Source organism: Homo sapiens, chromosome 3, assembly GCF_000001405.40.
Source record: "Homo sapiens chromosome 3, GRCh38.p14 Primary Assembly".
NCBI lineage: Eukaryota > Metazoa > Chordata > Mammalia > Primates > Hominidae > Homo > Homo sapiens.
In genome coordinates, this window is record NC_000003.12 from 50,825,876 (window position 1) to 50,844,147 (window position 18,272).

The 18,272-nt window shown below is 37.1% G+C and overlaps 1 protein-coding gene across 22 annotated transcripts in view; it reads left to right on the forward strand.

The window, feature by feature from the left end:
• The window catches only part of DOCK3 (dedicator of cytokinesis 3), a 709,272-nt gene that overhangs the window by 150,949 nt on the left and 540,051 nt on the right, over positions 1-18,272 (forward strand). For all 22 annotated transcript variants that reach the window (XM_005264914.4, NM_004947.5, XM_006713010.4 and 19 more), the window contains exon 3: positions 15,800-15,840. In XM_005264914.4, the coding sequence (XP_005264971.1) occupies positions 15,800-15,840 (41 nt within the window). The remainder of the gene's footprint in view (positions 1-15,799; positions 15,841-18,272) is intronic.

Consider the following 18,272-nt stretch of genomic DNA (forward strand, 5'->3'; position numbering starts at 1 on the left):
CAGCTGAATCTATGTTAGTCACTGCCAATAAAGGAGTGTAGTAGGGAGATTACTAGGAATAAGAAGGGTTGTGGTTCTTCATGTTTTTTTTTTTAATCACAGTGGCAGACTGCTCTGCAAGTAGTTGATACCCACAGTATTTCCCATGGCAAGCAGTGGTCTTTGTTCTGATGCATGACCTTCAGCAACATTCTTTCTCACTGAGCAGTCAGTGGATAGCATATTTCTGCAGTAGTCCAACATTTCCTTATAGATCTGTATTCTTAGCCTTTTGGGGCCCCTTTTGTAAGTTGCTAAGCCTTTTTTTTTTTCCTTGTTTACTTTTCCCTCAGCCTTAAATGTGGCAGCTGCGTTCTGTAGTTGCTACCTCTGTTATATCTTAGAGCTGTCTTCCATTTTCAGTTGTTTACCATCTTTTTACCTATTTAATGTTCTTTATAGTAAATTTTTCCTGTTTGAATGATTGGTATATTTTCTGTCTCCTGACTTTACCCCACTTGATACTCTTGAAGTCTGGGTCTCCACAACAAATGATACGGTGAGATCTCTGTGCAGTGAACCATAAGGTCAGCAAGCTTCACCCATCTATTTGGAGCTTCCAGTTAACTTTTTATTTCCTTTCCCTTAAATATGAACTGGCAACCAAGGATACAGGATATTTGAAGATGCCTCTAACATGAAAGATGGCCACATTTCACTATCTCCCATTCTACTCCCCAAAATGAAAAATCACTTTGTAGGAAACAGACTGCACAGGGTGAAGAAAGATTACCATTAATATCCTCTGAGAGATAAAGGAGATATTGCATCTGTGAAACAGGAACTGGATACTGTAGAAAAAGAAACAGTCAGATACCACAAAAGAGCTCTTGGAAATTAAAAATATGATAGCAAGAATGAAAATCTCAGTAGGAGGGTTGGAAGAAAAAGTTGAGGGAATTTGCTAGAAAATAAAGTAAAAAGACAAAGTCGTTGAAAATTAGAGAAGATACAATTAGGGATCAGCTTCAAGAGGTGCATTATTTGGTGGGGATTCAGAAGCACATAAGAGAGAAACTGAAGTATAAAAATTCACTGTGAAGTAATTTGGGAAAATTTTCCAGAATGTAAGGAGACGGGCTTCCAGATTGAAAGGGCCCAGGAAGAAACTAACACTAATAAATGAAAATAGACTAATTTCATTGTGAAATTTCAGAATATTGGACCAAGAAGATTTAACAAGCATTCAACTACAGGAAAAAGCATGCCATGTAAAAAGGACCAGGAATCAGACTGACATTGGATTTTAACCATGGAGACTAGAAGAGTAGAGGAGGGTCTTCAAAATGCCGAAGGAAAATGTGTGTTATATGTTATCTTAGTTCATTTAGGCTGCTATAACAATACTATAGGCTGGGTAGTTTATAAGCAACAGAAATTTATTTCTCACAGTTCTGGGCTGGGAAGTGCAAGAACAAGGTGCCAAACAGATTTAATGCCTAGTAAGAGCATATTTCATGGTTCATAGATGGCTGTCTTTTTGGTGTGTCCTCACATAGAGGAAGGGAGCAAGCGAGATCTCTGGGGTCTCTTTTATAAGGGCATTAATCCTGTTTATAAGGGCCCTGTCCTCATGATCCAGTCACCTTTTCAAAGGCTTGACATCTGGATACGCTTATATTGGGGATTAGGTTTCAACATATGAATTTGCAGGAGGAAGACAAAACATTCTGTCTGTAGCATATATAAATATTAGAATGGTGCAAAAGTAATTGTGGTTTTGCCATTGGAAGTAATGGCAAAAACCCCAATTACTTTTGCATCAACCTATAGCTTGTGGTTTGGGAGTTTATTTTTGTTTAAACTGACAATCTGGATTATTTAGTCCATTTGCACTTTGATATAGTTAGGTGTAGGTGTATCATCTTGGTCCTTGTTTTCTTTTTGTTCCTTAGTTTCTCAACTTATCCTTTCTTATTTTCCTTGAATTAACCCAGCATTTTAATGATTTCATTTAGGCTCCTCTATTAGCTTGTTGGTTTTACAGTGTTTTGCTTTTCCCTTAGTGATTATCCTAGAGTTTGAAACATGCACTCTTTTTTTTTTTTTGAGATGGAGTCTTGCTCTGTCCCCTAGGCTGGAGTGCAGTGGTGCGATCTCGGCTCACTGCAGCTTCTGCCTCCATGGCCTCAGCTTCCTGAATAGCTGGGACTACAGTTGTGCGCCACCATGCCTGGCTAATTTTTGTATTTTTAGCAGAGACAAGGTTTCATCATATTGGCCAGGCTGGCCTCGAACTCCGGACCTCAATTGATCCACCCACCTCGGCCTCCCAAAGTGCTGGGATTACAGGTGTGAGCCACCACACGTGCCAGAAAACATGCACTCTTATTAGAGTCTACCTTAAATTTGTTCTTTTACCACTCCCCAGATCGCATGAACTTTACAATGATTTAACTACATTTGTCCCTCTTGTCTTTTATGCAACTATGGTCTATATTTTACTTCTGTCTACATTCATTCGTTTGCCCACATTTTTTACCCTTTTCTTTTCTTTTTTCTTTTTTTGAGACAAAGTCTCACTATGTCACCCAGGCTGGAGTACAGTGGCATGATCTTGGCTCACTGCAAACTCTGCCTCCTGGGTTCAAGAAATTCTCATGCCTCAGCCTCCTGAGTAGCTGGGATTACAGGTACCCACCACCACGCCCAGCTAATTTTCATATTTTTAGTAGAGATGGGGTTTCACCACGTTGTCCAGGCTGGTCTCAAACTCCTGACCTCAGGTGATCTGCCCGCCTTGGCCCCCCAAAGTGCTGGGATTACAGGTGTGAGCCATGGCGCCCAACCTTTTACCCTTTTCTTTTATTTTTTATTGAGACGGAGTCTCACTCTGTCGCCCAGGCTGGAGTGCAATGGTGCCATCTCGGCTTACTGCAACCTCTGCCTCCTGGATTAAAGTGATTCTCCTGCCTCAGCCTCCTGAGTAGGTGGGATTACAGGCATGTGCCACCATGCCCAGCTAATTTTTGTATTTTTAGTAGAGACGGGGTTTCACCATGTTGGTCAGACTGGTCTCGAACTCCTCTCCTTGTGATCTGTCTGCCTTGGCCTCCTAGAGTGCTGGGATTACAGGTGTGAGCCACCGCGCCTGGACCCTTTTACCCTTTTCAATTATCTCTTTACCATGCTTTTACATGGTTCTATCTGGGATTTATTTATTTATTTATTTATTTGCCATTTAGATACATCTTTTAGTAGTATTTCTTTCAGCGCTGGTTTGCTGCGCATTGTTTCAGTTTCTGCTTATATGAATCTCTTAAATTTGTCATCATTTTTGAATGATATTTTTCCTCAGTATAGAATTTTAGGTTCATGGGTGTTTTCTTTTAGCATTTTAAAGGTTTCATTTAGTTAATATTTGACTTGCATAATTTCTTTGAAAAGTCACTGTGTTATTGATTTCTCCTAAATGTAATGTGGCTCTGCTCAGCTTGTCAGCCTCTCAGCTGCTGCTTTTTGTGGGGTTTCTTGGAATCCTGTATGCCATTTTGGGAACTGGGAAATCTCAGGAGTGGAGATTAATATAAAATTTTGGATTTACTGTAATTCACTTCTTTCTGAGATTTTTATCCCTAAGGCTCAGTTGCTTTGGTAGCCCTCAATGTCAACATTTTTCTCTTATTTCAATGGAACTATCATTTTCTGCTGGTATGCCCTCAGAAAAAAAAAGTCAGGTGAATGAGGAGCTCACCTTGATGTGGTTTTCCTTCTCTTGGAGATTATAGTGTCTGAAGTTCTGTCGAGGATAGTTGCTTTCTAATGCCCTTACACAGCTGTTTCATGTATTTTGTCCAAAGCAAAGTTTTTGTCAGGACTAGAACCAGAAGTTCACAAATATATAGTATTTTAATTCCAAAAGAGTTTAAAAATATCTTGATCAGTGGCAGTATTATTGAAATTCGCTTATGGCCCTCCAGAGTGACTAATTTTAATGAAATAATGACTCATTTGCAAGTAAAAATTCTCAGTTTTTTAATGTACATTTATTTATTGGTGATTATTATCTTTAAATTTACAGCTCACAAATGAAGATTTAATATAACTAAACTGTGCAAATAAATGCAGATGATTATTGTGTAAATTTTTCAGTGCAAATAATGGAAAGAGGATTTTGAATGTAGACCTTTTGAATAATTACATTTTTCTGTTTTGAGGCTGAATTATCTTATAAGTTTCTTATTTTTACAAGTGATTGGCACATTGTTTCCTGCCTATTATTAGTTATATAACTGGAAAAGGGATCCATAATTGGGTGAACTCCATATATTTTTATTGATGCACCAAAGTGAAAAAAATCAGTATTTTTAAAAGGGTGTAGATTTTGTTTTTGGCTCTTGAATTTACAATTGGTTGCTTAAATGATGTCTAAAGTGGGTCCTCATGCAAGTCTTTACAAAGAACCATGATTTGTTATTAAACTACTTTTAATCATGGTATGGAATGGAAGAGAAATTGTGCTTATCTTCTACCTGTCTCTACTTCCTGTGCAGCTATTAGCCAGGTATTGGGTATAAATAAATTTTCATTTTTTCCATTCATCGGTGAGGAATATATGTTACACCTTTGGAATAAAAAACTTTCACCTTTGAAACTTCTTATCAAAGGGGTATTTTTTTGTTGGACTGCATTTGATGCTTTTGATCTGGTTTGATTGGTTTGCACCTGGAATCTTTGTAAAGGGTTGCTGATTGTTGACTGTCACATGGCCTGATCTGTATAGAGGCTTCATTCTTTTGGGTTCACACTGCCGACACTGTTCTGCAGCTTCTCTGTCAGTACCAATTGTAGTGGTACTGTTGGCTCTTTGGGATAGTATAACTTCACTTGCATTGGGTGACTGGCAAGGACATTTCACAGTCTAAATAAGAATGCGTATTATTTTTATTTTTTTAAAGTGAAAGCAAGTTTATTAGGAAAATAGAGGAATGAAAGAATGGCTACTCCACAGGCAGAGCAGCCCTCCTGGTTGGCTATTTTTATGGTTATTTCTTGATTATATGCTAAACAAGGGGTAGATTATTCAAGAGTTTTCTAGGAAAGGGGTGGGCAATTCCTGGAACTGAGGGTTCCTCCCCTTTTTAAACCATATAGCATAACTTCCTGACATTGCCATGACATTTGTACACTGTCATGGCACTGGTGGGCATGTCTTTTAGCATACTAATGCATTATAATTAGCATATAATGAGCAATGAGGACAACCAGAGGTCATTTTCATTGCCATCTTGGTTTTGGTGGGTTTTGGCTGGCTTCTTTACTGCAACCTGTTTTATTTATTTATTTATTTATTTATTTATTTATTTATTTATTTTTAATTTTTTTTATTTTTTAAAATTATACTTTAAATTCTGGGATACATGTGCAGAATTATTACGTAGGTATACATGTGCCATAGTGGTTTGCTGCACCCATCAACCCGTCATCTACATTAGGTATTTTTCCTAATGCTATCCCTTCCCTAGTCCCCCACCCTCTGACATGCCCTGGTGTGTGATGTTCCCCTCCCTATGTCCATGTGTTCTCATTGTTCATCTGCCACTTGTGAGTGAGAACATGTGGTGTTTGGTTTTTCTGTTTCTGTGTTAGTTTGCTGAGAATAATGGTTTCCAGCTTCATCTGTGTCCCTGCAAAGGGTGTGAACTCATCCTTTTATAGGGCTGCATAGTATTCCATGTTGTATATGTACTACATTTTCTTTATCCAGTTTATCATTGATGGGCATTTGGGTTGGTTCCAAGTCTTTGCTATTGTGAATAGTGCTGCAATAAACATATGTGTGCATGCATCTTTATAGTAGAATGATTTATAATCCTTTGGGTATATACTCAGTAATGGGATTGCTAGGTCAAATGGTATTTCCGGTTCTAGATCTTTGAGGAATTACCACACTGTCTTCTACAATGGTCAGACTAATTTATACTCCCACCAACAGTGTAAAAGCATTCCTATTTCTCCACATCCTCTCTAGCATCTGTTGTTCCCTGACTTTTTAATGATCGCCATTCTAACTGGTGTGACATGGTATCTCATTGTGGTTTTGATTTGCATTTCTCTAATGACCAGTGTTGATGAGCTTTTTTTCATATGTTTGTTGGCCACATAAATGTCTTCTTTTGAGAAGTGTCTGTTCATATCCTTTGCCCACTTTTTGATGAGATTGTTTCAACAAACCTGACAAAAACAAGTAATGGGGAAAGGATTCCCTATTTAATAAATGGTGTTGGGAAAACTGGCTAGCCATATGCAGAAAGTAGAAACTGGACCCCTTCTTTACACCTTATACAAAAATTAGCTCAAGACGGATTAAAGACTTAAACGTAAGAACTAAAACCATAAAAATCCTAGAAGAAAACCTAGGTAGTACCATTCAGGACATAGACATGGGCAAAGACTTCATGACTAAAACACCAAAAGCAATGGCAACAAAAGCCAAAATTGACAAATGGGATCTAATTAAACTAAAGAGCTTCTGTACAGCAAAAGAAACTATCATCAGAGTGAACAGGCAGCCTGCAGAATAGGAGAAAATTTTTGCAATCTATTCATCTGACAAAGGTCTAATATCCAGAATCTACAAGGAGCTTAAACAAATTTAGAAGAAAAGTGCAACCTGTTTTATTAGCAAGGTCTTTGTGACCTGTATCTTGTGCTGACTTCTTGTCTCATCCTGTGACTTAGAATTCCTAAACTCCTGGGAATGCAGCCCAGTAGGTCTCAGCCTTATTTTACCTAGCCCCTATTCAAGATGGAGTTGCTTTTATTCAAACGCCTCTGACATATTTTTCTTCTCCCTTTTACAAGGGAACTCTTAATCCTAAGGTTAGTAGAGGGATGAAGATCTAGCTTCTGAAACTTCTTCAGGCTGAATAGGGGTGGTGATATTCCTGCCTAACTATCAGGGTCTCTTGTATTCAGGTTTGAGAGGAGCTCAGTCAGAAAGCATTGGTTTGTCGAGGGCCGTTCATAGCTCTGAGTTTCAACAAAGGTGATATCTGGAAGATTAATAAGTCTTCAATTTAAGAAAACATTTAGTAAGCTTATCCTGCATTCCTATACAAGGAGTATAACAGCAATATATTCCACCACAGTAAAGCAAAGTAAGTAAAATTATCCCAAGTAAACTAAATAAGAAAGCTTTTCATGAACTGGGCAGTTGTTGGAACCAAGCTGATATGGGGCTGCTAGCTGATCCCAATATGTGCCCAGAATTAGAATATTGATACAGAGTTTTGCATTACTCATCCCTCTGTTTCTTCTGAGCAGCAGTCAGAGATCACTGGTTGGTTCACAGGATAAGCAGGGTTAATCTAAAATGCAGATAAAACTTCGAAACAACTGATGAGAGTAGAATCTAATAACAGGCATACCATAGTTCTTGAAACATATTTTTTTCTCTTTAGTCTTCCATTTTTACTAAAGACAAATCATAATAGGACCAATTTGTTTGCAAAAATAAACCTTACTCTTATTCTTGGCCTGATTATTTGTTTAAAGTACAGCAAGAATAATTATTTTTCACATAGGCTTTTTAAATAGGCTTTGATGGAACTGTGTTCCATAAGGAATCTCAGATAAAACTTTTTTTAAAAGCCAAGCCCAGCCATGGGTTTGTACCCTCAAATACCTATGAATTGGGTAAACTCATCTCCTCTTGGGGTCTCAAGACTATTTGAGGCCCCTGGGCCTTTCAGGAATTGACATTCTTTACCTACCACAGGTCTGGAATCTTGTACAGGGACTGTGTAGACAAGATATGAGGTCAGTTTTCCCATGAGGCTTTTATTGCTCTACACGTCAAGTTTGATTCCTTAAAGGAAAGCACACCATTCCAGTCAAAACCTTGGTAAAATAACCAATTTCTCCAATTGTGTCCTGTTGCAAAAGAGAACATTCTTACTGCACTTATGCAAATAACTATATTGCCATAAATTAAGAATACTCAAATAGTTTCCAAATTCTGGAGAAATCAGGTAGAGAGAGACAAATATGCTTCAAATTTTTTTCACAGGAGTATACTTCACTTAATTGTTAAAAGCTGTAAGTAGCTCAAAAGAAAAGTTTTCTTGACTCTGTAAAACAAAACAAGGGATCAGCAACATTTTAAGCAAAGTCAAAAAGATTACTTTGAACTTTTATTAGTTTAATCCATGCAGTTAACTCCTCTTCTGCTTGATATTCATGAACATTTCAGCTCTCCAGGAGAGTCCTGAAAGTTTTTCCTGCATTCTGATGTCACAGTCTCCAAACTTACCAGAAACCTGCATTCAAGAGCACCTGTCAAAGTTCTATAGCTGATTTTAAACCTTGAAGAGGTTTTTTCAAGGGATCAAAACAAGAAAATAATTGTTTTTGAAGAGGATCTAAACAAGAAAACAATTGTTTGTGGATGACCAAATTGTTTAGGGAAGCCCCTATTAAAGCCACAATTGACTATTAATTTTAGTTACTTCTGTGGCATACAACAATTTTACATAACAAGTTATAATTATTAATAACACACACTAAATCATATCAGAATTATAGGAGTTTTTCATAATTTTAGAACACATACCAATAATATTTACACAAATACAGCCCAAAGAAAGCCAAACACCATTTCATATTTGACAGTGCTTCCCGTATGATTTGTATACCAAATAAGCTGAATATGTCATTTTTGGACCTTAGGTGACCTAATAGCTAAAATATTAATTAAGTCAGAGAAAGTCATACTTTATAATTTGATTTTGGAAAGTTTGTCAAATATCAAAGTTTTTAGACACTTCATATTAGAAAATAGAGTTCCATGTCACTATAAGTCATTCATTTAGCCAAAATGGTAACTCAAACATTTAAAAAAGGCAAAAACTAAGAGGGAAGACTTAGCTTTCCAAAGTGTCTTTTTTCTTTCCCTTCTTTTTCCTGTGGTTATTCAAAAGGGGCAAACAAAAATCCTTCTTTTTATTAAATGTAACATGAAAATCTTGTTCAAGACAGAAAGCCATATTTCATTATTGCATTAGTGTACTATTAATGTCACACCCAATTCTTAAAACCTTATAGACAATTCAATTCAGTCTTAATCACTTTGCCCATAAGGTAGATTCTCATAAACCTTTTTTATAACCATTTAAAATTTTTGTTACAGAAGGCAGATTAGTGCTCTGAGAAAACCCTGTTGTACTTTTATTCCATTGTTCACACACAGACTTTTTTTACAAGATTAATTTTTCACAAATGTTTCACAACTTGCACAAACCTTCAGCTATATCCTGTCTAACTTAAAACAATTATTTAACCCTTTAATCTAGGCAAAATCACCTCACATTCACATGCCTTTTTATGATCTTTTACCAAATCACCTGTCACTTTCTTTACACACCTTGCATGCAAAACTGTTTTTATTTCCCAAAGATTACTTAAGTCACATGAACTAAAAGGCATTGCACTTTTTACTTTTCTGACAAAATATTTGATATAAGTGCTTATTACCTTTAAACCAATTAATTAAAATCACAGTCTTCAAACTTATCAGAAACTTCCATTCGAGAGCACCTGTCAAAGTTATATAGCTGACTATAAACCATCTTTTGAAGAGGATCAAAACAAGACAACAATTGTTCATGGATGACAAAATTCCTTAGGGCAGCCTGTATTAAAGCCTCATATCCTACATAGAACACATATAAATACACAGACAGAAGAAGAACCAGTACTTGTAAGATTTTTTATTAGCCAGTTTTTAGGTTTCTCTTTAAAGTATGCAGTTTTTAGGGCCTAATAAGCAGGCACAACTGGAAGGCAAAACAGATTAACAAAACCCAAAATTAAGGGTTCCATTTTTGTAGCAGATTCTGGATCTTCAAAAGGGAAACCTTATGGAACAAGACAGTGCAATGATTTTACTGTGCATTTCATTGCAAAGCAACCCAAAGCCAATCAGCTCATTCTGTGATTAGCCAAACCCCATGAGATCTTATCTCTCAGTGGTGGGAGAGGAATATCTTCATTCCTTCCAGGTGGCCCAAGAGCTTGCTTCTCTTATCCAAACATGCAAAGAGCCAAGTATCCCCCCATAACTGCCAATAGCCATTGCTAAAAATATATTTCCTACCAAAGTATATTTTGTTTATTACACACCAAAATTCTCTCATAATGTGAATTTCTGATACACCCAAAAGTAAAAAAATCAGATAAAACAATGCAAAACAGAAAAGAGCCTTATATTTTGAGAGGGATCTATTACTTCTAATTCCTGGGGATCCCATTCTGGAGGACGGTGGCTGTCTTCTGACAGCTCCACTAAGCAGTGCCCCGGGGGGGACTCCATGTGGGGGCTCTTACCCAACCTTTCCCTTCTGCACTGCCCTAGCAGAGGTTCTCCATGAGGGCTCTGCCCCTGCAGCAGACTTCTGCCTGGACACCCAGGCATTTTCGTACATCCTCTGAAATCTAGGCGGAGGTTCCTAAACCTCAATTCTTGTCTTCTGTGTAGGGCCAATACCATGTAGAAGCTGCCAAGGCATGGAGCTTCCACCCTCTGAAGCAGCAGCCTGAGCTGTACCTTTCACCCTCTGAAGCAACAGCCTGAAGTATACCTTTAGCCATGGCTGGAGCTGAAGAAGCTGGGACACAGGGCACCAAGTCCTTAGGCTGCACACAGCAGTGGGGCCCTGGACCTTGCCCAGGAAACCATTTTTCCCTCCTAGGCGTCTGGGCCTGTGATGAGAGGGGCTGCCACGAAGGTCTCTGACATGCCCCAGAGACACTTTCCTCATTGTCTTGGTGATTAACATCTGGCTCCTCATTACTTATGCAAATTTCTGCAGCAGGCTTGAATTTCTCCCCAGAAAATGGGTTTTTGTTTTCTACCACATTGTCAGGCTGCAGATTTTCCAAACTTTTATGCTATGTCACCTCTTGAAAATGCTTTGCTCTTTAGAAATGTCTTCCGCCAGATACCCTAAATCATCTCTTTCAAGTTCAAAGTTTCACAGCTCTCTAGGGCAGGGGCAAAATGCCACCAGTCTCTTTGCTAAACTATAGCAAGAGTCACCTTTATTCCAATTCCCAACAAGTTCCCCTTCTCCATCTGAGACCACCTCAGCCTGGACTTCATTGTCAATATCACTATCAGCATTTTGGTCAAAATCATTTAACAAGTCTCTAGGAAGTTCCAAACTTTCCCACATCTTTCTGTCTTCTGAGCCCTCAGTCTCTAGGAAGTTCCAGACTTTTCCACATTTTCCTGTCTTCTTCTGAGCCCTTCAAACTGTTTCAGCCTCTGCCTGTTATCCAGTTCCAAAGTTGCTTCCACATTTTTGGGTATCCTTATAGCAGCACCCTACACTCTGCAGTACCAATTTAGTGTATTAGTCTGTTCTCATGCTGCTATGAAGAAATACCCAAGACTGGGTAATTTATAAAGAAAAGAGATTTAATTGACTCACAGTTCTGCATGACTGGGGAGGCCTCAGGAAACTTACAGTCATGGTGGAAGGGGAAGCAAACACGTCCTTCTTCACATGGTGGCAGATGAGAGAAGTGCTGAACAAAGGGGAGAAAGCTCCTTATAAAACCTTCAGATCTTGTGGGAACTCACTATTATGAGAACAGCATGGGGGTAACCGCCCCCAGATTCAGTTACCTCCCACTGGGTCCCTCCCTCAGCATGTGGGGATTAGAATTGAGATTACAATTCAAGATGAGATTTAGATGGGGACAGAGAGCCAGGCCATATTAGTGGGGAAGTGGGTGCGGGAAAACTTCTCTCTTCTGTGTATTTATATAGGATGATTGGAGATGGCCTTTCTGAGAAGATAACATTTGGGCAGAGAACAGATGGATATGAGGAAGCAATCCTGAGATACTCTGGGTGGAAGGGGTTTGGGGAGGGGAAGAACAGTCCAGAAATATGGTGCAAAAAGTATAAAGGTGCTGAGGCGGGAGCCTGCTTAGTAAGTTGAAGGAATTGCAGAGAGACTATTATGGCTGCAGTGGATGGATGGGATGGGGAGAAGCAGAGAGAGTGGTGGAAGTTGAGATCAGCAGAGGCTCTAATAAAGACTTTGAATTTTATTTTGATCTGGGATGCTTTTGGAGAGCTTAGAGCAGAGGAGTAACTAAGGCTCAAAAAGTTAAACTTTTCTTTTGGAATTTGAAGTTAATACCCAAACCATTTCCAATAATTCTTTCATTTCCATTCATTTGGGTAAAGTGGAAAAAGTCTGTGTTTCTTGCAATCATGCCCTGAGTAACATGTCCCTAGCTTAGAAGTTGGAGAGTTGCAGCAAGTTACTGAGGAAGGGAAGAGCTGGTTTTTATAGGTAGAAGGGATAGAAGACCAATAGAGAACTTTTGGAGGCAATACAACAGCATTTTATAGAATTCAGTTATATTTTTCTGACTTAAGTTAAAGTTAGACGTAAGTCTTTATAAACTTGAGTGTTGTAAGAATGCCTTCCTTTCTTTAATTTTCTACAAAAATTTATATCTGAAAATATTAGAGTATAAAACTTTGCCTTAACCTTAAGTTCCTAGTAGTAATCAAACCAGCAGATGTTTTACTCACCAAATGAGACTCTGATGTGTTCTTCAGTTAAATGCATATGATGACATTGAAATTGATGAACACTCAATCTGAACATCAAGGGGAGTTTCACTTTCTTTGCTAGTATTCTGAAATTTTGTAAAGTCAAGATATTAATGATGAAACTGAAAGGGGAGAATATAATTGCAGAGGTAGATTTTCCAGAGTTCTTGGACAGTAGGTAAATTGACATTTGGAAGATACTTCAGTGTACTGGTTCATTAAAAGCATATATTTCCTGTTGATTCATAATGATTTGGGAGATATTTTAGTTGTTTCTTTGAGAGCTTATGAACTTTTTTGGTTCATATGTAAGAAACAAAAATAATGGGTTGTTCTTCCCTTTCTCTTTTCCTTACTGTCTTCAATTCTTCTTAGTCATGGAACGGATACATTTGGCAAAGCTTGTAGCAGAGTTGCAGTTTTAAGAAAAGGTGATGGCTGAAGTTCACTGAGCAGAATTCTCATGTGCACCTGATAATGGTGGCCTCCCTTAGAGATGATAATGTGGTTTTGAAACTACTTAGATCAGTGATTGTCAGGGCTGGGGCAAGAGGTTGGGGAGGAGGGTTGACTACAAGAGAGCATGGTGTCACATTTGCATTATCATTATATGGTGTTAAATGTATCCACAGTATGCATTTAAGATTCCTTCAGTGTCTTCTCATGGCTTGTTAGCTCATTTCTTTTTGTCTCTGAATAACATTCCATTGATTGGATGTGCCACAGTTTTATTCACTCATCTGCTGAAGAGTGACATCTTAGATGCTTTTGAGTTTTGGCAGAAAGTATGATAAAGCTGCTGTAAACATCAATTTGTAGTTTTTTTGTGTGGATGTAAGTTTTCAACTCATTTGGGTAAATATAAGGAATGGATTACTCAATCGTATGGTAACAATATGTTTAGTTTTGTTAGAAACTGCCAAACTGTCTTCCAGAGTGCCTTTGTACCATTTTGGATTTCCATCAAGAGTGAATGAGAGTTCCTTTTGCTTTACATCTTCATCAGCATTTGGTTCGGGACAGTGTTCTGGATTTTGGCCATTGTGATAAGGCATGCAGTAGTATCTCATTGTTGTTTTAATTTGCAGTTGCTTAATCACATAATGATGTTGAGCAGCTTCTCATATTCTTATTTGTCATCTCTGTATCTTCTTTGGTGAAGTGTCTGTTTAGATGTTTTGCATATTTTTTAATTGGGCTGTTTTCTCCCCTCCCCTCCCCTCCCCTCCTCTCCCCTCCCCTCCCCTCCCCTCCCCTCCTCTCCCCTCCCCTCCTCTCTCCTCTCCTCTTCTTTTTTTGAGATGGAGTATCACTCTGTTGCCCAGGCTGGAGTGCAGTGGCACCATCTCAGCTCACTGCAACCTCTGCCTCCTGGGTTCAAGCAATTCTCCTGCCTCAGCCTCCTGAGTAGCTGGGATTACAGGTGTGCGCCACCATGCCTGGCTAATTTTTGTATTTTTAGTAGAGATGGGGTTTCACCATGTTGGTCAGGCTAGTCTCAAACTCCTGACCTCATGATCCACCCACCTCAGCCTCCCAAAGTGCTGGGATTACAGGTGTGAGCCACTGTGCCTGGCCGGGCTGTTTATTTTCTTATTGAGTTTTAAGAGTTCTTTGTATATTTTGGATAACATTCCTTTATCAGATATGTCTTTTGTAAGTATTTTCTCCCAGTTTGTGGCTTGTCATTTTGTTCTCTTAACAATGCCTTTCACAGAGGAGTTTTTAATTTTAATGAAGCTCTGTGTATCAATTATTTCTTTCATGGATCATGCTTTTGGTGTTGTAGTTAAAAAGTCATTGCTGTACTCAAGGTTACTTAGATTTTCTCCTGTGTTGTTGGAGTTTTATAGTTTTGCATTTTATGTTAAGGTCTACGATCCATTTTGAGTTTATTTTTGTGACTAGAGTAAGATCTATATGTAGATTCATTTTCTTTGCATATGGATGTCCAGTTGTTCCAGCACCATTTGTTGAAAACTTTTTTTTCCATTTTATTGCTTTTGCTCCCTTGTCAAAGATCAGTTGATTGTATTTATGTGGGTCTATTTCTGGATTCTCTATTCAGTTCTCTGTTTGCCTAATCTTTCACCAATATCATACTGTCTTGATTACTTTAGCTTCATAGTGTTCTCATTGCTTTTATGGAGGAGAGGCTCTTTGAAGAGACTTACTCTGCCACACCTCATGATGTCATTTTCTGTTACGTTTCTTAAAATACTGTAAAGTGTCACATTGGTAAGTTATCACCATTTTTCAAAAATAAATGGAGAAATGAGACTCAAGATATAAAATGAGTTAATGAAATTTATTTTTTCAGCTATTGTTCTAAGTAGGAGCAAGGCTCATCTCTTTTGTTGTTTGTTATGTTTTCAGGTGAAAAAAGTTGATTCTTTTTTTTCATAGCTTTGTTATTTTAAAAGTTAATACGTAGGACAAACTCTCAACGATAACCTCTCAATTAATTTAGCTATCATCAGCAATCTCTTCTTTATCTTCCTTCTTTAAATACAACTCTTGGCTTCCTCTCCTACCCATTGGAGCTGCTTCCTTTTAAACCCAAATAAAGAAACTATAGCAAACCTCTGAAAATAATATATTGAAATTGAGAAGAGTTGGCAGTAAAATTTTCTTTTTTCTGAAAATTGTTTTTTGTTGTGTAATTGAAACTTTTATTAGTATTGCTGAATGTGAATGCTGAAAGGAAATAAATCAAGAAGGTGATCTGCACTAGCAAGGATGTTGACTTTAGCAGCTGGAAGGCAAAGAAATGAGAGTAGTGTAGTATACTGTATGGGAGATTGAATGAGACTGCGAAACAGAAAGTCTGGGCTGTACTCCCTATCTGCCATGAAAAAAGTGATACAATTTTAGCATTTCTCTGCCCCAACACCTTTATGTAGGAATTTTTGTGCTGTTGAATTACATGTCCTCTGAAGTCTTTTCTAATTGCATTTTACTCAGTTGAAAGGGCTTTATGCCTTGTAATGAAAATTAGAAATGTTTTATTCACCATATGACTGTTCCTTTTGGAGTAAGCTGCTATGACAACTCTAGATCCTAATAAAGCCACAGTGGGTGTTTTAAGGAAAGATGTGCATTTATCTATTTTTTTCAAAAAATACTATTGTGTCTCTTATTGAACATGACATTGTGATTTTAATATTCTCTTATGCTTTGTTTTAGGTTGGTACAGAGGAGTTTCAACAAAGAAGCCAAATGTGAAGGTAATGAAAAGTTTATTGTTACCTTTTCTAATGTAGGAAGGAACTACCTTGTATGTTTGTTTGATATAACAACTCTTAGTGGTTCATCTTTTAATCTTTTACAGTAGCCACAATGATTCTTTCCTTTACAAAACTGTAGCAAACTCTTGTCTGTCTCAGCATATTAAAGTGTTTCTTCTGAAAGGACAGGAAATGCAAATATCATAGCTGCAAAGCTTATCTTGAAAAAGCCTATTCAGGCTTTTAAATATTTTTTTCTTTAAGGTATTTGACAAAAAGTACATTGACTTATTCACAGGCCTAGTCCTGTGGAACCATATAATTAGATGAATTGTTTCTAAAAGCACAATGGAAAATATTTTCAAATAATCCAATTAGATATTTCTCTAATCATAATTTATTGAAATATGAATTTAAACAAGTTGTTAGTGTAGAATACTAATTTTATGTACTAGATTTTATGTTTATTACAATTAATATTAATGAAACATAGTTTAATTAGCAGTTATAATACAGTTAGAAATAATCTTTCCCAATAATGTATTTGCAAACACTTCTTTCTGCATATTTTTTCATGTAATTAATATTATCAGCTTTTCTTGTATGTTTCTGTAGCTTAATATTTGATGCAGTATGTTTTTGTTTGTATAGAAAAATACCAAAATTATCACTTTTTTCATTCAAAAAGAAAATTGTTTAGAGTTCTAATAATCAGTTTTGCCAGTAGAATCATTCAGTTTTATTAGTTTTAAGGTAATGATTATAAGGAAACAGTATCTTTACATTTTAATGCCTCCTAGCTGTGGTTTCTCATTCTTGGCACTGTTGGCATTTTGGGCCAGATAATTCTTTATTGTGGGAGACAGTCTTGTGCAATGTGAGATGTTTAGCAGAGTATATGGCTTCTACCTACTAGATGCCAGCAACCCTCTGTCCCTTAGTGTGACAACAAAAGAGGACTTCAGACATTGCTGAATTTGTCTTGGGGACAAAATGACCCCTGGTTGAGAACCACTGCTTATAGGTAATTTTTCTTATATTTCTGATTTTGAAATACATTCATGAATGCTTACGTGGGAATAGTTTCTACTTGTGGTTTATTTTTTAAATTTTGATTTAAAATTGTTGAAAAGTTAGAACTGGAATAAATGAGGAATCTTATAAATGAATAGTTGTAATTTGTGATATTGCGTGCTATTTATTTATTTTAGTAATATTTGTGGTCTTGGCCACCTCCCACTATCTTATTTCCAATACTAGTGTTTGAGGATCAGCGCGTGGACTGTGCTCATTAAAATTATTGTATGTTTGTGGTTAAAGTATGAAATTGATGCAAAGTTTGTGGCTTGAAAACATTATTGAGACAGGAATGATGGTACCCTTAAAATATTAAACATCACTGTTTTGATTATATCTTCCTACACAATGAAGTACTCCAAATTTGTGGATTAAACTAATAAACATTTTATCTCTTATGCTTTTGTGACTTGACTGGGTCAGCTGGGTAGCCAGTTATTCTGGGATGTGTGAGGTTACCTGTGGCAACAGTCAGCTGTGGGGTCAGTGTCCAAGACATTCTGGTAGGAATGTCCAAGAGAGTTTACTTGTATGTCTGGCATCTTGGCAGGGTTGGCTGGAAGACTGTCTTCAGCTAGGCCACCAAGATAACCAGACTTCTCTATGTAGTCTCGGGGTTTCTCTATTTCCATGTGGCTTCACATGGTTTATCCAGCAAGTAATTAGAGTTTTATTTTAGAGTTAAGGAAAAGTACCTGGAACCTCATACTTAGTTCTTAATTCTCTTTCCTACAAAAAACAGTTTTTGGATTCTGTGGGAGAGGCCATTTTGTGATTACTCTTAGCAGTGTTTTGACAAGCTGTACAAAATGAGGAACCTAACTCACACTACTCTAAAGAATGTTAGAGCTCATTTTATCTCATCAGACTCCTTTAATTTCATTATTTTGGGGGCTAATGTGGTATTCAGAGATTGTATATTTTGGTAATATCTCTATTCTAGAATCTTAGGTTATTACAGCATTTATTAGCAACATGTATCTATATATCTCTTAATAGCTTGTATCTGTACTCTTAAACTTAAAAAAATATGGAAAGACAGTATTACTAACTGAATTTCATCCTGCGTCAGTGATATTTTATGGAACCAGTTATTTAGTGTTTGTAAAATATAATCATTTAGGGATACCACATCCTTAAAATGATACAAAAATAAATGCGTTTCTATATATCCTTTATTTGTGCTAATATTATGGTCCTACTACACTTGATCTTAGCCAAAAGGCTAAGAAGTGATCTTATTTCAGTCATAATAAGTAAAATTTTCTATAGGTTTTTCATAGATATTAGTGGTTAAAGGAAAAAATAAAGATGACTTATTAAAGTTTGTCTTTAGTCGTTTATGATTTATACTA